Source organism: Homo sapiens, chromosome 1 (assembly GCF_000001405.40).
Source record: "Homo sapiens chromosome 1, GRCh38.p14 Primary Assembly".
In the NCBI taxonomy this organism is placed as follows: domain Eukaryota; kingdom Metazoa; phylum Chordata; class Mammalia; order Primates; family Hominidae; genus Homo; species Homo sapiens.
The window spans coordinates 202,122,725-202,145,643 of NC_000001.11; the positions used below are offsets into that span (position 1 = coordinate 202,122,725).

A 22,919-nucleotide genomic window follows, 5' to 3' on the forward strand; every position below is an offset into this window, starting at 1 on the left:
GGGCCTGAGAAGCGGCGTCGTGGAGGACGAGATGTGTGAGGGCAGCAAAGAGTGCTATGTGTCCAGCAGAGGGCCCTGCCCGGCCTGTGGCCGGAGGCTGGGAGGGAGGGCAGGCGAGTGATGCCAGACGCCTGACTGGAGGCGGATCCAGCCGGCCAGCTGCCTCTCTGGAGCCCAGCTCTTGGGCCCCCTGCACTCACCTGCTCTTCCTGGGCTGGCTGTCTCCTGCTCATCCAGCCATGCGGTGGCTGTGGCCCCTGGCTGTCTCTCTTGCTGTGATTTTGGCTGTGGGGCTAAGCAGGGTCTCTGGGGGTGCCCCCCTGCACCTGGGCAGGCACAGAGCCGAGACCCAGGAGCAGCAGAGCCGATCCAAGAGGGGCACCGAGGATGAGGAGGCCAAGGGCGTGCAGCAGTATGTGCCTGAGGAGTGGGCGGAGTACCCCCGGCCCATTCACCCTGCTGGCCTGCAGCCAACCAAGCCCTTGGTGGCCACCAGCCCTAACCCCGGCAAGGATGGGGGCACCCCAGACAGTGGGCAGGAACTGAGGGGCAATCTGACAGGAGCACCAGGGCAGAGGCTACAGATCCAGAACCCCCTGTATCCGGTGACCGAGAGCTCCTACAGTGCCTATGCCATCATGCTTCTGGCGCTGGTGGTGTTTGCGGTGGGCATTGTGGGCAACCTGTCGGTCATGTGCATCGTGTGGCACAGCTACTACCTGAAGAGTGCCTGGAACTCCATCCTTGCCAGCCTGGCCCTCTGGGATTTTCTGGTCCTCTTTTTCTGCCTCCCTATTGTCATCTTCAACGAGATCACCAAGCAGAGGCTACTGGGTGACGTTTCTTGTCGTGCCGTGCCCTTCATGGAGGTGAGTGTGTGTTCTGTTTGAGCTCTGCTGGGAGGCTGCAATCCAGGGAAGGGACTCAAAGTCTCCATCAGGTCTTTGGAAATGGAATTTGTGGGTGTGCAAAACCTGAGTCTTGGAGCTCTGACTTGCTCCTCCTTTACCTTGGAGAAGGAGACAAATACGGTATTGGTTTCTGGTTGCTCTCAAGAGAAGTAGGCAGGCCAGGGGGACAGGCGGGTGTGTGGGGCCCCTGGGTTCCAGCCCCAGCCTGATCTTCTGCTTCGGGAGCAACCTCAAGGCAGGCCTTTGCCACTTTCTCCAGACCCTAAGCTGCCCTCTCCCTTCCTCAGCCCTTCTCCCCTGTCCCACCCAAGATACCTCTGTCCTTTGTTGTGACTCCTCTTCTTTCCTCTGTACCCCCTGCCGCTGCCCTGCTCCCACAGCTTCCTTCGCTGCTCCTCCGTCTCCTGCCTCCTGAAGGAGTGCCTGAAGGGAGAGCCCAATTTCCTTCACACCCCTCTGGATCAAGTCAGCATCCACTCCATGAGAATACAAGCACCAGAAGCAAAAGACCGCTCCGTTCTTCCCTCCCTGCTGGGATTCTCATTGTTATCGTTGTCATTTCCATCAGCAACTTCCTAGATCCTCTCTGAAAGGGATACCTGGTTCTGGGCACTGGAACTAATGGGGGGCTCTAGTCTTAGCTCTGCCACTGACATACTGGGCGTCACTGGGCAGGTTGCATTACCTCTCCAATTTCTTTATCTCCCAACCAGGGCGGGTAGACCAGATGGTCCTTCCAGCTGGCCTGTTTCACAGTTCTAAAGTATACCACTATGCCCTTACTTCTGGTAGCGTCTACGATAAGTCCATGGGTGTCAAAGGATATGTAGAGCATAGAGAGACAACTTAAAACACTGCAGAAACATACTGATGTGTGCATTTATGCAAGACACAGCAAGGCCACCCTCTCTCTCTCTGTAAGACAAAATAAGCAAACAGTCTTTCAAATTTTGGCTGCATGGAGTGTAATGGAGTGACTGTGGTCTCCCTGTGAAGCTGCTGTTCCTTCGTGAATGATGCTGCATGACAAGGGGGACTTGCCTGGCCGGAGAAGGGCTCAGGATCAGCATTACGGACACAGGTCCTATTCCAAGGTCTGTCCCCACCTCACCATGTAACAATGATGATGTCATAGTTGGACAGACTCCCTGTGTCTCAGCAGTGGGTACAGTCCTTTCCTGTCCTTCCCAACCCAGGGAGACTGACTAACAGTGGTACAAAGTTACTCCACCCTGAAAGAAGACCCTGTGCCAGGCACAGTGGCTCATGCCTATAATCCCAGCACTTTGGGAGGCCGAGGCAGGTGGATCACTTGAGGTCAGGAGTTCGAGACCAGCCTGGCCAACATGGTGAAGCCCCATCTCTACTAAAAATAAAAAATTAGCCGGGTGTGGTGGCACGCACCTGCAGTCCCAGGTACTCAGGAGGCTGAGGCAGGAGAATCGCTTGAACTTGGCAGGCAGAGGTTGCAGTGAGCCAAGATTGCGCAGCCTGGGTGACAGAGTGAAATTCTGTCTCAAAAAAAAAAAAAAAAAAAAAAAAGACCCTGCAACTGGAGAGAGGCTTTGCATTCTTAGTTATCATCTTGTGCTCACGACCCAGGTGAGCTGTGCATGCTTAGACACAGGACTCTGAAATTGAGCAGACTAGATTAGAAACTGGGCTTTTCCCATCACTAGCTGTGTGATTTGGTAGATTACTTTAACTACCTAAATCTCAATTTCCTCATTGGTAAATTGGGGATAATAATAATAATAGCTATCTGGGTGAATTCTTAAGGGATTAAATGGGTGATGTCTATACAGTGCTTAGAATTAAAATGGTATAGAGGAGAAGGGGAAAAGGGCAGACACATACGACCTCTTGTTTGCATGTGGCTGGTAGGTCAATGAACACCTGGCCCTACCTGACTGTGGGTCCTGACATATGTAATGTCCTCCTGGGCCAGCCCCTCCACACCTCCTGGAGGATAGAGATGATCCACAGGCTGGTAGACAGTCTTCCTTCTAGGCTGGGTGGTGGGACAGGTGGAGGGAGAAAACACTCTTTCTTTTTTTGAGACAGAGTCTCACTCTGTCACCCACAACACCCTTCTTCTTTATTTGAGACGGAGTCTCATTCTGTCACCCAGAGTGGAATGCCGTGGTGTAATCTCAGCTCATTGCAACCTCCGCCTCCCAGGTTCAAACAATCCTCCCACCTCAGCCTCCCAAGTAGCTGGTACCGCAGGCGTGTGGTACCACGCCCGGCTAATTTTTGTATTTTTGGTAGAGACAGGGTTTCATCATATTGCCCAGGCTGATCTCCAACCCCTGAGCTCAAGCAATCTGCCTGCCTTGGTCTCCCAAAGTACTGGGATTGCAGGCGTGATCCACCGCGCCCAGCAACACCCTTTTATAGGGAGGATCTCAGGATGGTCCTGAGGAGGGAGCAGGAGAGGGCAGCTTGGAATAAAACTTGAGATATTTTTGAGATGTAAAATAGAAGGGCAGGGCCGGGCACGGTGGCTCACCCCTGTAATCCCAGCACTTTGGGAGGCCGAGGTGGGCGGATCACGAGGTCAGGAGATCGAGACCATCCTGGCCAACATGGTGAAACCCCATCTCTACTAAAAGTACAAAAATTAGCTGGGTGTGGTGGCGCACACCTATAATCCCAGCTACTCGGGAGGCTGAGGCAGGAGAATCACTTGAACCCGGGAGGTGGAGGTTGCAGTGAGCTGTGATTGCGCCACTGCACTCCAGCCTGGGCGACAGAGTGAGACTCTCGGAAAAAAAAAAAAGGAGAGAGAATGGCGTTTCTACCCAAGCCTGAAGCCTGTGCCTCTGCAGGCCTGGGCTCCCCTGCCAAGAGAGGGGGTTGGGGTTTCCACAAAGAACACTTGGTGGCTGTGCTAAAAGCTGGGGATTGTGTTCCCCCAGCCAGAAGAGGGAAGAATTTGGACAGGAGGGGGATCTGAGCACAATCCCTGAGTGTGGCTGAGCAGCGTCTGATGGTGCGGGAGGGTCCCCTCTTCCTTCCTGCTCTTTGGCACTCTCCTCCCCTGCCGCTCGGGCTGCTTCCTCTTGGCTCACAGGGTGGTTTTCCACGCGCTTGATGAATAGAGTGCGGGCATGGTGGGCACTGGCTGCTCAGAGGGGGGCCACTTCCCCACACAGCCAGGTCCTGGGCTTCTCCGGACAGGGCCAGGAGCAGAAACGTGCGTGTGTGTGTGTGTGTGTGTGTGTGTGTGTGCACGCGTAAGCCATGTTCCCCAAGACCATTCATCCCAGGCATGCAGATAATGGGGTGTGGGAAGTGGAAGGACCTGCAAAGATCCAGAACTTCTATGTCTTTATCTTGGTTCTTCCTTGGAGATGATTTTCCAAAGTCTGTCAGAGAGCATCAGGGTCTATGGGAGCCAGGCCATTCATCCCCCAGCCTGAGAGGCAAAGAACAAGGGGGAAGGAGGCAGACATGTGTGTAAACCTCAGCTCCGCCATTCATCAGCAGTGTGGTCCTGGGCAATTCACTGTTCCTGCCTGAGCTTGAGCTTTTTCAATGGTAAGGTGGTTGATTGGGAATGTGATGACACGTAAAGTGCCCGACCCATAGGAAATGCTCATTAAATGGAGTTGTTACCATTATTATAATTCCTTCCTTCTTTCCTTCCTTCCTTCCTTCCTTCCTTCTTTCCTTCCTTCCTTCCTTCCTTGTTTCCACAGGGTTTTGCTCTGTCACCCAGGCTGGAGTGCAGTGTCGTGATCTTGGCTCACTGCAGCCTCAGCCTCCTAGGCTCAAGCCATCCTCCTACCTAAGTTTCCCGAGTAGTTGGGACCACAGGCGTGCCTCACCACGACAGGCTATTTTTTTGTATTTTTAGTAGAGACAGGGTTCCATCATGTTGCCCAGGCTGGCCTTGAACTCCTGGGCTCAAGTGATCTGCCTGCCTCGGCCTCTCAAAGTGCTGGGATTACAGGTGTGAGTCACCGCACCCGGCCCATTATTATAATTTCTATGCTTATCACTCAATTCATGGTCTAACTGAGCCAGAAGCCAGGTGTCCTTCCTTGTCCCCATAGATTTTGACCAAGTGCTTCTCTCTTCCCTCACATCCTGCCCACAGGTCTCCTCTCTGGGAGTCACGACTTTCAGCCTCTGTGCCCTGGGCATTGACCGCTTCCACGTGGCCACCAGCACCCTGCCCAAGGTGAGGCCCATCGAGCGGTGCCAATCCATCCTGGCCAAGTTGGCTGTCATCTGGGTGGGCTCCATGACGCTGGCTGTGCCTGAGCTCCTGCTGTGGCAGCTGGCACAGGAGCCTGCCCCCACCATGGGCACCCTGGACTCATGCATCATGAAACCCTCAGCCAGCCTGCCCGAGTCCCTGTATTCACTGGTGATGACCTACCAGAACGCCCGCATGTGGTGGTACTTTGGCTGCTACTTCTGCCTGCCCATCCTCTTCACAGTCACCTGCCAGCTGGTGACATGGCGGGTGCGAGGCCCTCCAGGGAGGAAGTCAGAGTGCAGGGCCAGCAAGCACGAGCAGTGTGAGAGCCAGCTCAACAGCACCGTGGTGGGCCTGACCGTGGTCTACGCCTTCTGCACCCTCCCAGAGAACGTCTGCAACATCGTGGTGGCCTACCTCTCCACCGAGCTGACCCGCCAGACCCTGGACCTCCTGGGCCTCATCAACCAGTTCTCCACCTTCTTCAAGGGCGCCATCACCCCAGTGCTGCTCCTTTGCATCTGCAGGCCGCTGGGCCAGGCCTTCCTGGACTGCTGCTGCTGCTGCTGCTGTGAGGAGTGCGGCGGGGCTTCGGAGGCCTCTGCTGCCAATGGGTCGGACAACAAGCTCAAGACCGAGGTGTCCTCTTCCATCTACTTCCACAAGCCCAGGGAGTCACCCCCACTCCTGCCCCTGGGCACACCTTGCTGAGGCCCCAGTAGGGGTGGGGAGGGAGGGAGAGGCCGCCACCCCCGCCGGTGTCTGCTGTTCTTTCCCCATAGGTCTTGCTTTGTTGCCTGTCTTGCTGTCTAGGGATGGACTTGGTTCCTCTTGTCAAGGTTTGGGAATGTCAAAGCCCCCTCCCCACACAGGGCCTTTCCTGTCCCTTGTGGGGCCTTCCAACCCTGTCCTTTCCACTGGTGGGCGGTGATGCTTCTAGGTCCTTAGAACTGCCCAGAAACTCTGAGTCCCAGCAGCTGGGAGCCAGAACTTTGCCTGCCCTCCCTTGGTTCCAGTCTCTCTTCTCTCTCTCTGCCTTGGAACCTGACCATACTTTAGTTGTGCCCTTCCCAGGCATCATCCTCCTACCACCAACCTGGGGCCCCATCTTGGAATGGGGGCTCCTTGGGGCCAGCCCAGTGTGGCTCACCACACTCTTCTTTTTTTTTTTTTTTTTTTTTGAGATGGAGTCTTGCTCTGTTGCCCAGGCTGGAGTACATTTGCCTGATGTCAGCTCCCTGCAACCTCCGCCTCCTGGGTTCAAGCGATTCTCCTGCCTCAGCCTCCTGAGTAGCTGGGATTACAGGTGTGCACCAACACACCCGGCTAATTTTTGTATTTGTAGAAGAGGCGGGGTTTCACCATGTTGGCCAGGCTGGTGTTGAACTCCTGACCTCAAGTGATCTGCCTGCCTTGGCCTCCCAAAGTGCTGGGATTACAGGTGTGAGCTGCCACGCCCAGCCCCAGTACACTCTTCTCTGGACCAGATCTGTCCCAGTCCTGGATGCCTCCTCCTACTGGTGCCTTCTTTTCTTCCAGAGGATTTCTCTCTCCTTCCTCCTCCTTTCTTTGGGATCCCTGGGTTGCCCTGTCCCAACCTCCTTGTTAGGTGCTTTCCCATAGGAGGCCCTTCTTGAGAAACAATAAACTAGGTAGAACTACCCCTATGCCCATCCACTTTCTTGTGCCACATTCTGGCAGGGCCCAGATGCAGCTGGGCCTTCCTGGCCTGGCAGTGCCTAGGAGAATTTCTCCTGACCTGGCCTGGCCTGTGGCTGATGTTCAGAACAGCCTTGTGGCCGATGTTCAGAACAGCCTTGTGGCCCTGGCGACTCCAAGGGTTTTATGGCTTTTGAGGGACAGAGAGGATGGAGGGCTTGGGGAGCCGGAGGACCTAAGTCCTCATCCTGGCCTAAACCCCATGCTCCTTGGGAAGTCAAAAGCCTGGAAAATATCTCCTCTGGAGCCTTCATCTCTGCTATGCCCTCTCTCCACAAAGCCCCCCTTGGAGGGAGTCCAGTGGTCTTTCCTCTGTGAGCCCCAGGGCTTCCCAGCCTTTGTCACTCTGAGAGCTGCTCTTGTTCAGTTTCTTAGAATGGACTGTTTTGCCTGTAGACGGCCCAGCTGCCTGCCCTGGCCTGCCCCCACCCAGCCCCCACTGCACCACCCTTCCCGCCAGAGCTCCCACTGCCCCCGGCAGACCCTTCATGCAGCTTCTCCTGTGGGGTCTTGCCCTTGAAGTGCCACTTCCCCCAGCCCCACCTCTGGTCCCTTCCAGAGGGCACCCTTAGCCTTGTAGGTCCCTGGGAAGCTGGCACAGCATCAACCAGAAGTGATGCCTCAGCCAGGCCACCAGTCGCTCCCCGCCTGGGAGCTCAGCTTTCCTCAGAACCACCCCCCCTGTCTGAAGCTCTGTCCTGGGTCCCACCAGACTTCTGCCCACCAGGCCTACCTACAGCATCCACATGGGGCCTCAGGAAGGGCCCCGGGGGCCCAGGGATGGGCAGGGGCAGGGTTTCCAAGCGCCTGGGGCTCCATTCTCCTCTGTCCACCCACCCACACCCCTTGGCCTCAGCCTGCCCTGTACCCAAGCTTCCCTCCCCCTCTCCTGGGGATCTTAACGGCCTTGTTCTCTCTCCCTGGCACCCACCCCCAGGGCGGGTGATGCCGCCAAGAGAGAGGGAGGCCGTTGCTAGGTGATGGCGCCGCCATGCACACACCCTTTGTGCTGGGGAGTGACACCCACCCGTTTCTCAGCAGACCTGTTGCCACGGTGACTGAAGCCCCCAGCTCTGTCTGTAGAAACTTCAGATGGGTGGGGGAGCAGGTTGGAGAGGGGACCAAAGGCAGGCCTGTCGTGCTGAAGCTCTTGGGGACCGTTTCCTCGGCATTTCCCCAACTCCTTCTCCACCCCCCTGCCAGGCCCGGAAGTACCACCAGCTTCCTAAGGGATGCAGGAAGGGGCCGGGTGAACTGAGGTGAAGTCCAGGGCAGGGGAGTCAGACCCCTCAACATCCTGTTTAGGGGTCCTCCTCCACAAAGGGTGCCCTCCACCTCTCCCTCCTGCTGGTTGGCCGGCTCAGAGATGAAGGGGGAGAGATGGTGGCTCCAAGGCTCTGCCACCGCCACCTCCCAAGCCTGCCAACGTGAATGGCTTGCAGAATCAGTCAGCAGGCCAGCGGCCTTGGGAAAGAGCCACTGTCCTCGCAGCCTGGGCCAGCTGGGGGAACAATGTAGGGTTTGTTGCTTAGGGGTCCCAGGCTTGCGGGGGGGTTGGCACATGGTGGGCAGTGGACTTGAGCTGGGATGGTCTGAGGGGGCACTGACACGCTCACCCGAGGGCAGACTTCAGACCAGCCCTCAGATCCTGATGCCAGGTTACAGGGCTGAGGGGAGCCTGAAATCCACTGGGTCTCCCTGCTCCACTTGGGAGTCACCTTCTCATCACCTATCCTGGAACTGAATGCAATTACTTAAACTCAGTCTCAGCTTCCTCATCTGTAAAATGGGAATAATCTGTCCTTCACAGAGGATTATGGTCATTTAATGAGACAAGATACATAAAGCACTTTGCATGGTGCCCCGAACCTTTTATTCCTTCCTCTCCTTTGGGAATTCAATTCTCTAGTGTTAGGAGCAGGCTTGGCCCAGGGATTCTTAAATGCATCCAGGTTTTGGCATCAAAGGGCCCCAAACATGACAATTTACCTATACTCATGGTCTGTTCCCATTCAACTTTAATAGGTTATGTGTGTTTTTTTTTTCTTAAGAGCTGGGTGGGGGGGTCTCACTATGTTGCCCAGGCTGGCTTTGAACTCCTGGGCTCAAGCAGTCCTCCTGTCTCAGCCTCCTGAGTAGCTGGGACTACAAGTGTGTACCACCATGCCTGGCTGAACACTTTTTTTTTTTTGAGACAAGATCCCACTCAGTCACTCAAGCTGAGTGCTGTGGTGTGATCACAGCTCATTGCAGCCTCCACTTCCTGGGCTCAAGCGATTCTCCTGCCTCAGCTTCCTGAGTAGCTGGGACTACAGGTGCGCACTACCACGCCTGTCTAATTTTTGATTATTTGTAGAGATAGGGTCTCACTATTTTGCCCAGGCTGGTCTCAAACTCCCAGACTCAAGTCATTCTCCTACCTCGGGCTCCCAAAGTACTGGGATTACAGGCATGAGCACCTGGCCCCTGAACAAATTCTTTAAGTCATATTAGCACCTGCTGCACGCCGGCACTGTGGAAGGAGGATGCTTGCTTGCTTCCTGGTAACCAGCTCTCTTATCTCAAACCTCAATCCTCAGTGAGGATCACAGGATCTGAGAAAGGCACCTTGGCCTGGAAACAGCCCCAGATGAGTGAGATTGCTGGTCCTCTCCCGGGATCCCAGGCCCAGGAAAACCTAGCCATGCTTGCAGTCAGGAGAGGGCAGGGGATAGAGCCCTGGCTCCCATTCAACCTCCTTAGCCAGGAGGACATGTCCCATTTTGCTTAGGAGTTGGGAGGTACCCTAGAATCACTTAGCTTCAGATGCCAAATTCCATCCACATTCTTTCCTCCAACTCTCTGGCAGTGGGGAACTGCCTCTCCAGGCAGGGAACTGCTCTGACAGGTCTGATGACTGCCTCCAGGAGGAAGCCCTGGGCACCAATGAAGGTGAGGGGCTGGAGGGCCCAGGACGGGGAGTCAAGGTCCCCACTCCCAGGACTAAGGGACAGTTTGGCTCCTTTTTCCTGCAGTGGGAGGGGTGAGAAGGGCTGGGGTGTTCTGCAAGGGCCTGCTCCATTTTCCAGGGTGAAGGAGAGGCCGAGGGAGGTGGAGCGGGAGGAGGTGGGGCTTACTGTGAAACTGGGTCAAGATGGCCTCGGATTTGAGCAGGCAGGGTCACCAGGCTCTGAGGCAGCAGCTGTGAGCAGTGCCGAGGGAGGACCAGCTCTGACGGTGAGGTCGGGTGGGGGACTAGAATCCAGCAGAGGAGCGAGGGCAGGGCTCCTACCAGGAAACCCATAGCATTGACACTAACTGAGAGGCAGCAAAGGCGGTGACACTCCCCCAGGCTCTGTGGGCCCAGCCCTACCCCTGAAGCACAGTTAACTGGTTCTGGGGTAGGAACTGGGGGCCGGAGGGACAGGGTTCTGGTTCTGGCTCAACCTTGGCTGCTGGTGAGATCCAGGGCCTGGGAAAGAGGGGCTGAGGCCTGAACTGGGCCTAAGGAGAGTGCAGCTCAGTTCGCACACAACAGCACCCAGCCCTGTCCCCTTGCTGCCTCTACCCAGCCCTGGGCAGTTCCCTCAACAGAGCTCTGCAGCCCCAAGTGGCAGCTGCTGGCTCAAAGCTGGGACTACATGAAAGTCTGAAAAGAGAATGAGAAGGAGGTGGCGCAAGAGCCTGGACGCACGTGTGGGAGGCCGTTTTGTGCAGCGCCATTGTGCTCCCCGGGCGGGCATGTGCTCGCGCTCCGTGGCTCTGTTGGTGCCCAGCGTGCGGGGGTGTGCTGGTGGCCCTGTGGGCCTGTAGGGCAACCCATGCCAACTGCGGAAAAGTAACCAGCACCATACACCCCCCCCAACACAAAACTGGTCATTTATTTTTTTTGTTGTCATTGTTATTAGGAAGCAAAAAAATGTACAGTTACAAGAATCATTTTCCAAACAGAGGTTAAATATGAGCTGAAAAGTGTAAAAAAGGAAGAGGAACATCACTTTACAAATCATTAAATTAAACAAATAAACAAACAGAACCCAAAGAACCAACCCCCCATGCTGAGTTCTCTCCTTGTGCAACTCTGCAAAATGAGAACAGAAAATGAAGTGGGCCGTGGAGGTGGGGGCCCTGGGGAGGGGCGGGAGCTGGGAGCCAGGAACAGGCAGGAGGGGGCTGCTGGGGCATGGACGCTGGCTTTCTGCCCCGTGTGCCTGGTGGTTTCTGGTACCTGGTCGTCGTACCTGGTGGCTCTACCCAGGCTGGGGGTCGAGGGGAGGGGCCCCCAGAGGCCCCTGCCAGCCTGTGGCATTCAAGCACTGCCAGGACAAGCCAGATTGGGCGGTGGAAACACACGGGACAGGGAGGCGGCCACCAGTGCCCAGGCTGGTACCTGCCGCAGGTGCCAGCCTGCACCTCTTCTGATCTGAACTTGCCCCAAGTCCACCTGCGTCTCCCTCCTTCTCTCCAGACTGCCCCCTCCCAGATCCTGAAAGGCCCCTGCAGCATCAAATGGTTGATTTTAGTCTTTGCTTAAATTAAAAAATTAAAATATATATACATATATATACTGTACACACAGGACAATAACAGAGAGTGTTGAAAAGGGAGGTACAAGAGCGGGCCGGGGAAAAGCCAGGGGCGGGGGCTGTGGCCCAGGGCTGCTGGGAGGGAGGCAGGGCTGGGTGATGGGACAAAGGCAGCGGGGAAGGGTGAGAAGTTAGGGGACCAGAATGGGGGGCAATTTATTTTACAATAAAAACAGGAGTTCAAACCTCAGCAGAACAGGACTCTGGGGTCCCCAGAGGGCCCTCCTCACACTGGGTGAGGAGGGGTGGGCTTAGGGGGACGACAGGGGTGGGCGGGGAGCTCGGCTTCAGGTTTAGATGATGACGGTCCCTGGTCTGAGGGAGAAGGGCTGGAGTCTCAGCTTCTCCGTGACTTCGAGTGTTGAATAAGCCACTGTAGGGTGATGTCTGATAGGAGAAAAGAGAACAGCTTATAAGGCCTGCAAGTACTGGCCGTGCTGGGGCAGCAGAGAGGCCCAAGAAACCAAACCTAAGGGTATCAGAAGTCCAGAGATGCCAGGAGGGGTGGCGCACACCTGGAGTCTCAGCTACATGGGAAGCTCAGGTGAGAGGATTGCTTGAACCCAGGAGTGGAGTTGGAGGCTGCAGTGAGCTATGGTCACGCCACTGAACTCCAGCCTGGGTGACAGAGCGAGACACTTTCTCAAAAACAAACAAGAAGTCCAGAGCTGGCAAGCGCCACATGGCCCTGAATGAGTAGTAGCGGAATTCAGGTGCTGGGAAAGAGACAGAGCCACAGCATGTCAGAGCCAGCAGGGACCTGAGAATCACCGGGTCCAGCCCTGGAATCTTAGAAACGAGGAGGTGAAGCCCAGAGCGGGGATCGATTTGCCCGAGATCACACAACCGCTTGGCGACAAGCTGGGATAGTGCCCAGAATCTGGGCCACCTGGCTGCCTTTTCTACCCAAGAGCCACAGGGCTTTGGACTTCAGGGAAAGTTGTGGAGCGAGAACCTGAGAGCCACTAAAACACTCAGAAATGCCTCTCCCCTCTCCTCCCTTTCCCCCATCCTACGCACCAATGTTGTCCTTTTCTTTGCAAGAGATGGAGTAGCAGCAGATCTCTCGGTCCTGGATGGCAGACAGATTCCTGGGGGAAACCAGAGTAGAGTCCGCTGAGGCTACGAACGTCCAGGGGGCCTGGGGCTAGGGGACAGCGGGGCCTTTTTCTTACCTAAGAGGCTACAAAGGGGAGGGTGAGGTGCCTGAAAAGGTCGGCTCTGCTGCCACCGTGTGGCTAATACTAAGAACAGCAGCAAGCCTAGGCTGTTGGTCTGGTGGTTGGGGAATTGGGAGAGCAGAAAGTAATATAGAGTCACCCAACTCACATTTTCTCAATCAGCTCCTTCTCATCCAATGCTCCCGGAAGGTCTCGCTTGTTACCCAGGACTAAGACCTACGGAGAAGGGAGGGTGAGGATGAGGTCTAGGGCAGCCGTGCCCAGGTTGTCTGGGTGGTGAGCTGGCCTCCTGGGTCCCGTTTCCTCTCTGCGCCCCTACCATGCCTGGCTTTTACCTGCTCCCAGTGACTTCCCAGCCGAGCTCCCTCCCCATCCCGCTCCCTCAGGTCTGCTGACCGGGATGCCCTGCAGCTGAGGTTTGTCCAGTAGGTTGTGGAGCTCGTTCTTAGAGGCCTCAATCTTCTCCTGGTCAGCAGCATCCACCATGTACCTGGGGAAAGAGGCAGGGTGGGGACAAGCATGTTGACACCACAGGCTGAGGTGGTGCAAGGAAGAGAAGGAGCTGCTGCTTGGAGGTGAAAGCATCTGTTGCAGCTTGGTCACCTCGGGATCCATGGGCTACCTGGCCTGGCTCAAGGCAGGTGCTCCGCGGATGTTTTCTGAGTCTATGGGAGTGAACAGCTGCAGGGACTCCTTAGGCCTGCCATTAGCCTCCAAGTGCTACTCTGGGGAAGCCGTTACTCATGTGGAAAAGCGTGGGCCCTTTGAGATTAGCTGTAAGTCCCTCTCAAAGTGACCCACTTATGTTTTCATGGAAAGACTAAATAAGGTTAGAGTGAAAAAAGCAAAGGAAACCTTAGAAGATTTCTTTTAGCAAGATACTTTTTGTTATCAGGTTAAAAAGCAACCTATTGTGTATTCTAAACAATCTATTGTTTGGGCATATATATATAGAATAAATTTTATTATTATTATTAATATCATTTTTGAGATGGAGTCTCGCTCTGTTGCCAGGCTGGAGTGCAGTGGTGCAATCTCAGCTCACTGCCACCTCCGCCTGCCAGGTTCAAGCGATTCTCCTGCCTCAACCTCCCAAGTAACTGGGACTACAGGCACATGCCGCCACGCCCGGCTAATTTTTTGTATTTTTAGCAGAGATGGGGTTTCACCATGTTAGCCAGGATGGGCTCAATCTCCTGACCTTGTGATCCACTCGTCTCGGGCTCCCAAAGTGCTGGGATTACAGGCATGAGCCACCGCATCCAGCCTATTATTTTCTGAGGCAGGGTCTCACTGTCACCCAGGGTGGAGTGCAGTGGTGCAATTACAGCTCACTGCAGCCTCGGCTTCCTGGACTCAAGAGATCCTCCCACCTCAGTCGTCTGAGTAGCTGGGACTACAGGTGCGTGCTACCAGGCTCAGCTAATTTTTGTACTTTTGTAGAGATAGGGTTGCACCATGTTACCCAGGTTGGTTTTGAACTTCTGACCTCAAGTAATCCGTCTGCCTTGGCCTCCCCCTGTGCCCTGCCATTTTTCTTTTCTTTTCTTTTCCTTTTTTTTGAGACAGAGTCTCGCTTTGTCGCCCAGGCTGGAGTGCAGTGATGCGATCTCGGCTCACTGCAAGCTCCGCCTCCTGGGTTCACGCCATTCTCCTGCCTCAGCCTCGCGAGTAGCTGGGACTACAGGCGCCTGCCACCACGCCCAGCTAATTTTTTTTGTATTTTTGGTAGAGACAGGGTTTCACTGTGTTAGCCAGGATGGTCTCGATCTTCTGACCTCGTGATCCGCCCACCTCGGCCTCCCAAAGTGCTGGGATTACAGGCGTGAGCCACCGCGCCCAGCCCATGCCCTGCCATTTTTCAATGTTTAAAATTTATTTTATTTTATTTTTTTAAAGACAGGATCTTGCTATGTTGCCTAGGCTGGCCCTAAACTCCTGGGCTCAAGCAATCCTCTTGCCTCAGCCTCCCAAGTAGCTGGGATTACAGGTGTGTGGCACCATGCTCAGCCAAAAAAAACATTATTTTTAAAAAGCAAGAGAGGGCTGCGCGCGGTGGCTCATGCATGTAATTTGGGAGGCCGAGGCAGGCAGATCACCTGAGGTCGGGAGTTCAAGACCAGCCTAACCAACATGGAGAAACCCTGTCTCTACTAAAAATACAAAAGTGGCCAGGCGTGGTAGCGCATGCCTGTAATCCCAGCTACTTGGGATGCTGAAGTGGGAGAATCGCTTGAACCTGGGAGGCAGGAGGTTGTGGTGAGCCGAGATCGCACCATTGCACGCCAGCCTGGGCAACAAGAGCGAAACTCCGTCTCAAAAAAAAAAAAAAGAATCATTTAAACCACACAAAATTCAAGACAGTGGTGACTTTGGGTTGAGGGGAGGGAGACAAGTCAATGAAGAGGATGCACAGGTGCATCTGGCTGGTTAATAGTCTATAGTCTGTTTCTTAGATTGGGTAGTGAGTGCCCAGGGCATTTATCCAATAAGAAACAAGTGGCATGCAAAATAAACGCAGGCCCTGGACCGACACTGTGTCATGAACCAAGGATTATGTCTAATAAAACCCTGCGCCTCTGAGGTCCTCGAAGGTAGCAGGGCTAGGGGGGCCGGGTAAGGCTGGAGTCTGGCGATGCCTCCCGTGTACTTACACGATGGCGCTCACTCCTCGGCAGTAGCGCTCCCACATGCTGCGGAAACGCGGCTGTCCCCCAATGTCCCAGAGCTGAGCAAGAAGAGGGTGAGATAGCCTCAGTAGTGGGCAGGCCACCAAAACGTGTCTTGGGTCTCAAATGCCCCCTCCTACCCTGCCCTACTCTCCTCTGCCTCCCCGGCTTCCTCTCCAGTTCTCCCCCGTCTCCACCCGCTCTCCGTCTACCTTAGAAGTCTTCTACTGTCTTTTCCCAGCTCCTCAGCAGGGGGACCCTGGCCTCTGCCCCACTTCAGCTCGCTCCTCCCAGGGGCCTCCGTTGCCCTCCCCAACACACACACACACACACACACACACACACACAAAAACAGTCCTCTGCACCCCCCAAGCTTCTGGGCCCTCACCTTGATAGTCACATTCCCTTTGGTGATTTTGCGCATGTTGAAACCCACGGTGGGGATCATGTCCTCGTTGAACTGTCCTGACTGGAAAGAAGACTCAGAATGGGAAACAGTGCAAAAATCGATATGCCCCCACCGCAGACCAAGAGGCTGCGAGAACCATGCAGAGGCCAGGCCAGAGCTTCCTAGACTTCCCACTGTGGGGTACTCTTGCACATCCTGTGCTTTCAGGCAGGATGGGCTATCACCAACCTATGTGTCCCGCCTACACCTGGGGATGCCCTGTGAAAAGACCCGCTTTTGTCAGACAGTCTCAATCTCTTTGCCTAGACTAGGGGAAAATTCTTCCTCAAGTCTAACCTACATCTCTCTGTAGTAACTGACGCCACTTTCTCTCCAGTGGAGAGGAAGAAGAAATTACCTTCCAGCAAGAGAACTTGAAGCAAGTCATGTTCTAATAGTTAAGGAGGATCTCAAAGAAAGCAGATGAATTTTCAAACTAAAAAATCAAACTTTTTAGGGCAGAGTATATTGGTCATCCTGAAAATGCAGTGCATGCCAAGCAATTTCTGGATTATCCATGGTTCAGTTTATTTGTACTGTACTCCAGTTATTGGGAAGGATAACCTACACTCTATATCGTCTGCTTATTTATCTATGTGTCTCCTCACTAGAAAGAACACTTCCTGGGAGAGGACCCAGGTCTATAGTAACACCATTAGTAAATGTTTGCTGAATACTGGGGGTTTGACTGTAATTCCATTTTCCAAAATCCATTCTGTATTGTCTCTAGGATTTCTGGATTCTTCTAAACTACCTACAGTCTTCAAATAAGGCCAGACCCAACTCCCTCCCAGGTCATATCTCCATGTTCACAGGTAGGACACTTCTGCTTATCCCTTGGAAGCAGGCTAAAGAGATGGGGCTCGGCCGGGCGCGATGGCTCACACCTGTAATCCCAGCACTTTGGGAGGCTGAGGGGGCAGATCACGAGGTCAGGAGTTTGAGACCATCCTGATCAACATGGTGAAACCCCATCTCTACTAAAGATACAAAAAATTAGCCGGGTGTGGTGGCGTGTGCCTGTAATCCCAGCTACTTGGGAGGCTGAGGCAGGTGAATCGCTTGAACCCAGGAGGTGGAGGTTGCAGTGAGCCGAGATCATGCCATTGTACTCCAGCCTGGGTGACAGAGCAAGACTCCGGCTTGAGAAAAAAAAAAAGATGAGGCTCATTCAACATTGAACCTGAGGGTGATAGCCCTGTTCCTTTTTTTTTTTTTTTTTTTTTTTTTTTTTCTGAGACAGAGTCTCGCTCTATGGCCCAGGCTGGAGTGCAGTGATGTGATCTCAGCTCACTGCAGCCTCTGCCTCCTGGGCTCAAGCGAGGGTCTCCTGCCTCAGCCTCCCCAGTAGCTGAGACCACAGGCATGTGCCACCACACCCAGCTAATTTTTGTATTTTTAGTAGAGACAGGGTTTCACCACATTGGCCAGGATGGTCTTGAACTCCTGACCTCAAGTGATCTGCCTACCTGGGCCTCCCAAAGCGCTGGGATTATAGGGGTGAGCCACGGTGCCCGGCCAAGCCCTGTTCCTTTACCATGCCTTTTTCTCCCACCAGCTGGTAGGAATAATTTGCCTTGGGTTACATAAAGAGATCAGGGGCCCTGACCATTAGCCAAGATGTAGGAGATGATTGGCTCTTATTTGGTGCCTCCATGTCCACATGAAGACCCCTGATATCCCATCTGAATAGACTGCTTTGATTCCCTTTTTTTTTTTTGAGACGGAGTCTCACTCTCTCGCCCAGGCAGGAGTGCAGTGGTGTGATCTCGGCTCACTGTAGCCTCTGCCTCCTGGGTTCAAGCAGTTCTCCTGCCTCAGCCTCCCAAGTAGCTGGGACTACAGGCGCGTGCCACCATGCCTAGCTAATTTTTTTTTTTTTTTTTTGTATTTTTAGTAGATTCGGGGTTTCACCATGTTGGCCAGGATGGTTTCGATCTCCTGACCTCGTGATCCGCCCACCTCGGCCTCCCAAAGTGCTGGGATTACAGGCGTGAGCCACCGCGCCCAGCCCAATTCCCTTTTATCTGCAGGAACCACCTATTCATCAGGGCCTTAGGATGATATAAGAACTGAGTACCCAGGACTGACACCCAATGACAAGGTCCAGCAGCGGTTTCCAACCTGAGGTCCACAGTTGGGCTTCAGAGATCCCCTGAACCCCCTGAAACTGTACACAATCTGTGTGTGTGCAAAGTTTTGTTTGTGTGTACATTTTTCTGGAGAAAGGGTCTCTCACTTCTTTCAGATATCAAAAAGTTCTGAGAGCCCCCAAAGTTAGGAACCACTGAGGAAGAGGGAATGGCTTCTTCTAGCTAAGCAGGGAGAATTAAGTGTGCTGTAATTACCCAAACCCCGGCAGCCTGCTGCAGTCTACCCCATCCCCAACAATAGAGTCTGAGGAAGGAGGCCCAGTTCTTGTTTGTCTCTCATCCCAGGGGGTGCTTGGATAAGAAACTTGAACTTCTCTGGACCTCAGTGTTTCTGAATGTAAAACTGGGGAGAAGGGTTTCGGTCTCCTAGGAACTGTAAATAAGACTCACAACATGCTTGGAAATGGTTTCGATATAGCATGGGGAACCATCACTGCTCTTTGGCAACTAGAAGATCCACAGGCTACCAAGTAAATGAGAAGCCCAGCCTGGCAGAATGTGACCTTGGCAGAGGGGGATGCTGGGAGGACCTTCAAGGAGCCAGGCTCCCCGGCACCAGTAGGTCTTGTTCAGCTGTGAATCGGAGCTAAGGTGGAATCAGATTATGACTTAATTTCCCTGCTAATGCCTCCCTGTCTCATAGGCTCCTCATTTAAGGTTGGAAGTAACCTGAAGTCATGCAGCCCAACCTCTTGTCTCAGACTTCAGTCCCTTCTGCCCCATCCCCTCTTGGGTCAGTTCCAACTATCAGAAAGTTCTTTATATTGAGTTAACAATCCGGCCGGACATGGTGGCTCATACCTGTAATCCCAGCACTTTGGGAGGCTGAGGCAGGCAGATCACCTGAGGTCAGGGGTTCGAGACCAGCCTGGCCAACATGACGAAACCCCATCTCTACTAAAAATACAAAAATTAGCCAGGCATGGTGGTGTATGCCTGTAATCCCAGCTACTCGGGAGACTGAGGCAGGAGAATTGCTTGAGCCTGGGAGGCGGAGGTTGCAGTGAGCCGAGACTGTACCACTGCACTCCCAGCCTGGGTGATAGAGCAACACTCTGTCTCAAAAAAAAAAAAGAAAAAAGAAAAAAAAGAAAAAAAAATCTATCATTCCTAGAATGTCCACCCATTGTTCCTAAGTCCCCTTGGGCACTCCAAGACTAGTTATTCCATAGGACAGTCTTTGACACTTTTAAATATTTGAAAATGACCCTGTTGTTTCCTAGGACAAAACATCTCCCACTTTTCTAGCATCACAACTTTTTCAGAACTCAAAGGATGTTTTAGGTTCCTTTTTTTTTTTTGAGACGGAGTTTCGCTCTTGTTGCCCAGGCTGGAGTGCAGTGGCGGCACGATCTTAACTCACTGCAGCCTCCGCCTCCTGGGTTCAAGCAATTCTCTTGCCTCAGCCTCCCAAGTAGCTGGGATTACAGGTGGCCACCACCATGCCTGGCTAATTTTTGTATTTTTAGTAGAGATGGGGTTTCACCATGTTGGCCAGGCTGGTCTCGAACTCCTAGCCTCAGGTGAAACCCCCACTTTGGCCTCCCAATTGCTGGGATTACAGGCGTGAGCCACCATGCCCGGCTGATGTTTCAGGTTCTTAGAAGCAGTGTATATAATTTCTTTCCAGCTCACATTAACCTGCTGAGCAGCTAGACACACTAAACTCAATTTCTATTTACAGCCAGACCTCATAGGGTGAGTAGAAAAAACCCAATGGCGAAAGATCTGAGACAAACAGAGGCCAAATGAACAGGCACAGGTAATTCAGAAATTCAGTGGTAGGCATGGGAACAGAGCCCAGGGGTCCCAACTCTTCGTTTCTTTCTGGAAGACACTCAACTGTGATTATACACGGGGTGGGCAGCAATGCCAGTGTGGTAGCCCCAGAGGATCTGAAAACACTGGAGTGACCGGGACACTGGAATTCCAACTGCAGCCCACATGGGGTGGTTTTCCTTGGGAAGCCTCTCTAAAGAAGGGAATTTAGCTTGCCTGCTCTTTTAGAATGTGCCAGCGGAAGTGGCAAATTTAAGATTAAAAAGGGGACCTTGTGGGCTGGAGATGGGGTGCTTTTCCTGTATATCACAGGAACTCTTGACCCTGGCAGGGGAATTTGGGACTCTTGGGTTCTGTTTCTGGCCTGCTATAGTCTCCAACTCTCTGGATATGATGCTGGTCTAGAGGGGGCCCTCCTGTCAAAGGCTCAACTGCAGACCCAGAAACCGAACCCACCCGGGTACCTGTGGATCCCTGTCCCAGAGCACAGCTATAGTAACACCCTGGGGAACGAGGAGATACCTAGGCCCAGCTGCATTTCTCAGACCTAAACGCCTAGAACCCAAGCCACCTAGGCCTGCAGAGTCAGGTCAGAGTCCAGGTGTTATGTGCCTGCTCTGGGAATCCAAGAGCCTAAGTCAATGCCAAGTTTAACCAGAGGGTCTCTGACCCCAAGGGCAGAGCCTAGGCAGACAGAGCCCAGGGGTGTTAGCTCCGAAAATTACTGTGCCAAAACCGCAGCATTGGCCTGAAGATCCTGCCCTGTCAGGTCAGGAGACAGGAGACACTGGGTCGAGAAAGGGCAGAGGTCATTTGCAGAGCATGTTTGGGAAAGGAAGCCAGTGTTCAATTGTGTAACCACAGGATGCCCGCCCCTCGAGCTTTCCATCTGCCTTCATGCCTCAGGTCCAATGAAGTGACGTCCCCTGCCTTCTAGGACGCTGAGAACTGTCGAGGAGGCCCATCTTCTGCAAGGTGGGGCAACAACACGGACAGGTAGAGGTACCTAGGCCGGCTGGATACATTCCTCTGCTGACCTATCTCATCAGTATCTTTGGTTACTATCTGGCCAACTCACAGTTGTGGGAAACCTCAGCTTTGGGACTGGGGCCAGGTCCCTGGACAACCCCAGCCCCTGTCCCATGCTTCCTCGACCCACAAGCCCTGTCTAGCCTGGCTCTGACAGGCAGGCCGCAGCCATTACGGCAGCCTCAGCTCACACCCATGGAGCTCATCTTCCCCTTTTTTGAGAGAGATTTTAACTCCTTCCCCACCACTCCCCTGGCGCTGAAAGACTTACAATCACCCACTTCAGTGTTGACGACCCAAAGCCCTTAGAGCCACTCTCCCAAGGCCCCAGTGGGCCGTGCCCCTACACCTCATCCTCTCTTGTCGGGAGCACCTGCTCCTGCAAACTTCTGAGCCAGACGGAGTCTCCAAACTCCCGTTACCATGCGATCCTCCCTGGACCCCCGGCTAGACACTGCGGGTCGGGGAGAAGTTGGGGAGGAGTCTGGGCTTGAGCCAAGGGCCTCAGCTGACTCCTCTACCCCGGGGGATACCTCCCCTCCCCCTCAATAGGGCCGGGGCTTCCTCTTCCGGCAAGGAGGGGTTAAGCCCTCTGGGTGGGGCTGGGCTTGCCCAAACCCCCTCCTCAAGCCTCTCGGCCGCCCCGTCCCGTGACCCTCTACCCGCGGGACAGGAAGGCCCGTGCACTTTCGCCCCGTCATGCCCCCTTGCGCGGGGGCCAGAGGGGGCCCGTCTCAGCCGGCAGCGGGTCCCTCCTGCTTCGAGAGCCCCTCGGTGCCGCCTGCCCCGTGGCACCGGCCCTGTCTGTTCGTCCCCCTTCCCCTGCCCCCAGCCGTGCAGTACCGGCCCGGGTGAGAGAGCGGGTCGCGCGCCGCCCCGGTCCCCCACGGCACGGGCCGTACTAGGCCCCAAGCGCTCGGGGCCGGCTCCTCCCCCGCCCGGCGCCCGGCCGTGCCCGGCTATGCCAGGCGGCGACCCCGGCTCAGCAGGGCGCGGCGCGGGCGGGGACAGGCCCGACCCGCGGCCCGCGCCCGGGGACCCCGCGCCCGACGCCCTCGTACCGCGATCACGTTGACGAAGGTGGTCTTGCCCGAGTACTGAAGCCCGACCAGCGTGAGCTCCATCTCCTCCTTCCAGAATAGGGCCTTGAACCAGTCCAGCAGCTTGTTGAACAAAGCGATCATGGTCGCTGCCGCCGGCCCCGCCCGGTGCCAGGTCCCCGCCGCCCCTCGCTGCCCTCGCGCTGCGGCCCGGAGCGGCCCCTCCCCGGTACGGCCCGGGTCCCGCGGCTCGGTGCGGGCGGAGGCTCGAGCGCGGCTGCCGACGACTCGCTGCCCCGGAATCGGCTCGCCGATGGGTGTGGCTTCCGCGCCCTCCTCCTCCGCCGCCGCCGCCGCCCTCCCTCGCGGCCGGGCCGTGTCCTGCTCGCACCCGAGCGCGCGCTCCTCCCTCGCTGGAGCCGGGGGGCCAGGGGCCGCACCCGCAGGTGGGGTGAGCAGGGAATCCGCAGGTGGGGTGAGCAGGGAATCCGCAGGCTTCAGCGGCGGGGGTTGACCGGCAGCTGGCGTCGAGAGGCGCTTGGGAAATGGGGTCTAATTTATTTTAGACCCTGTCCCCGACTGCCGCGCCCTGACTGGCACCCCCTTTCTTAAAGGGTGGTGGGCTCGAGGTGGGTGAGGTTCCGGTTAAGCAGGAGCCTTTTCAGGTTGAAGGAGAGTGGGTCACCCACTTCCCAGGACACGGAGATGAGATCTCTACGACAGGGAGGCAGATGGAGGCTTTTTTGTCCCTGAACCCTTGCCTCTGAGCATTCCTGGGTACAGTCCCATCCTCTCAAAATGCACCCAGTGCAGAGGGACAACCGTATTCGGGTCTTTTAATACTCCATCTTGTTTTGTTCACCACAATTTACCCCGACCACTTGTTAGGAAGCCTCTGGCCCCAAGTGAAACGGACGCTTGAACTTGCTCCGGATTTTTACCAGCATCCCCAAGATACCCAAACAGATACAGTCCTGGCAGGGGGTTTTCAGTGAGGAACGTCTGTGACAAAGGAAAATGTTGCCCTGTTTTGGTGAAAAGCAGAGTATTCTTCAGGAGGAGAAGTGATAGTTCTCCTCTTGAAGTGGGTCTGGAGTGCCTGCAAAGATGCCTTACTCCTGCCCCTCTCCTTGCAAGACCCACCCATAGGACCTGCTCAGGCAGGCTGACAACCTCAGCTGGCAGTCCCGGGTAGGCTCAGGCTTCGGGCAGTCC

General features: G+C 54.8%; 2 protein-coding genes and 1 long non-coding RNA gene across 4 annotated transcripts, besides 5 other annotated features; 1 reads left to right on the plus strand and 2 right to left on the minus strand.

Moving 5' to 3' along the window:
• The first annotated feature begins 192 nt into the window (after window positions 1-192).
• On the plus strand, window positions 193-10,868 carry GPR37L1 (G protein-coupled receptor 37 like 1). The gene is made up of 2 exons (NM_004767.5): window positions 193-869; window positions 5,017-10,868. Exons 1-2 carry the CDS (start codon window positions 240-242, stop codon window positions 5,830-5,832), a joined length of 1,446 nt encoding a protein of 481 aa, NP_004758.3. The 5' UTR covers window positions 193-239; the 3' UTR covers window positions 5,833-10,868.
• LOC105371683 (uncharacterized) lies at window positions 863-2,994 on the minus strand. Its single transcript, XR_922422.3, has 3 exons — window positions 2,818-2,994; window positions 1,227-1,334; window positions 863-1,009 (listed from the first exon to the last, which is right to left on the minus strand). It is a non-coding gene; the product is annotated as an uncharacterized LOC105371683 (long non-coding RNA).
• Window positions 7,159-7,942: an enhancer, noted in NCBI's record as "H3K4me1 hESC enhancer chr1:202099011-202099794 (GRCh37/hg19 assembly coordinates)". NCBI's record gives its function as "activates a minimal SCP1, AML or CMV promoter by ChIP-STARR-seq in primed H9 embryonic stem cells {active_cell/tissue: H9 hESC(primed)}" and the evidence as "EXISTENCE:reporter gene assay evidence [ECO:0000049][PMID:30033119]".
• Window positions 7,943-8,726: an enhancer, noted in NCBI's record as "H3K4me1 hESC enhancer chr1:202099795-202100578 (GRCh37/hg19 assembly coordinates)". NCBI's record gives its function as "activates a minimal SCP1, AML or CMV promoter by ChIP-STARR-seq in primed H9 embryonic stem cells {active_cell/tissue: H9 hESC(primed)}" and the evidence as "EXISTENCE:reporter gene assay evidence [ECO:0000049][PMID:30033119]".
• Window positions 10,680-22,013, minus strand: ARL8A (ARF like GTPase 8A). 2 transcript variants are annotated; one of them, NM_138795.4, is made up of 7 exons: window positions 21,726-22,013; window positions 15,644-15,724; window positions 15,241-15,314; window positions 12,983-13,076; window positions 12,735-12,802; window positions 12,426-12,496; window positions 10,680-11,792 (listed from the first exon to the last, which is right to left on the minus strand). In NM_138795.4, exons 1-7 carry the CDS (start codon window positions 21,846-21,848, stop codon window positions 11,743-11,745), a joined length of 561 nt encoding a protein of 186 aa, NP_620150.1. In that variant the 5' UTR covers window positions 21,849-22,013; the 3' UTR covers window positions 10,680-11,742. The 2 variants fall into 2 exon arrangements, with proteins under 2 accessions (NP_620150.1, NP_001243058.1); NM_001256129.2 differs by lacking the exon at window positions 12,735-12,802.
• Window positions 12,625-12,832: a silencer, noted in NCBI's record as "fragment chr1:202104477-202104684 (GRCh37/hg19 assembly coordinates)". NCBI's record gives its function as "represses an EF-1alpha promoter that drives an FKBP-Casp9 reporter gene in an ReSE screen in HepG2 liver carcinoma cells {active_cell/tissue: HepG2}" and the evidence as "EXISTENCE:reporter gene assay evidence [ECO:0000049][PMID:32094911]".
• Window positions 20,954-21,003: a silencer, noted in NCBI's record as "silent region_1697". NCBI's record gives its function as "represses an Ori minimal core promoter by ATAC-STARR-seq in GM12878 lymphoblastoid cells {active_cell/tissue: GM12878}" and the evidence as "EXISTENCE:reporter gene assay evidence [ECO:0000049][PMID:35858748]".
• Window positions 21,504-22,213: a silencer, noted in NCBI's record as "silent region_1698". NCBI's record gives its function as "represses an Ori minimal core promoter by ATAC-STARR-seq in GM12878 lymphoblastoid cells {active_cell/tissue: GM12878}" and the evidence as "EXISTENCE:reporter gene assay evidence [ECO:0000049][PMID:35858748]".

Excerpts from the sequence above, each read along its gene's own strand:
- GPR37L1 (NM_004767.5), top strand. The coding sequence starts at position 240 with ATGCGGTGGCTGTGGCCCCTGGCTGTCTCTCTTGCTGTGATTTTGGCT. Across the intron at positions 870-5,016 it reads GTGCCGTGCCCTTCATGGAG|GTCTCCTCTCTGGGAGTCAC; the intron begins GTGAGTGTGTGT and ends TCCTGCCCACAG.
- ARL8A (NM_138795.4), bottom strand. The coding sequence starts at position 21,848 with ATGATCGCTTTGTTCAACAAGCTGCTGGACTGGTTCAAGGCCCTATTC. Across the intron at positions 15,315-15,643 it reads AAGGGAATGTGACTATCAAG|CTCTGGGACATTGGGGGACA; the intron begins GTGAGGGCCCAG and ends CTTCTTGCTCAG. Across the intron at positions 11,793-12,425 it reads CAAAGAAAAGGACAACATTG|ACATCACCCTACAGTGGCTT; the intron begins GTGCGTAGGATG and ends TTCTCCTATCAG.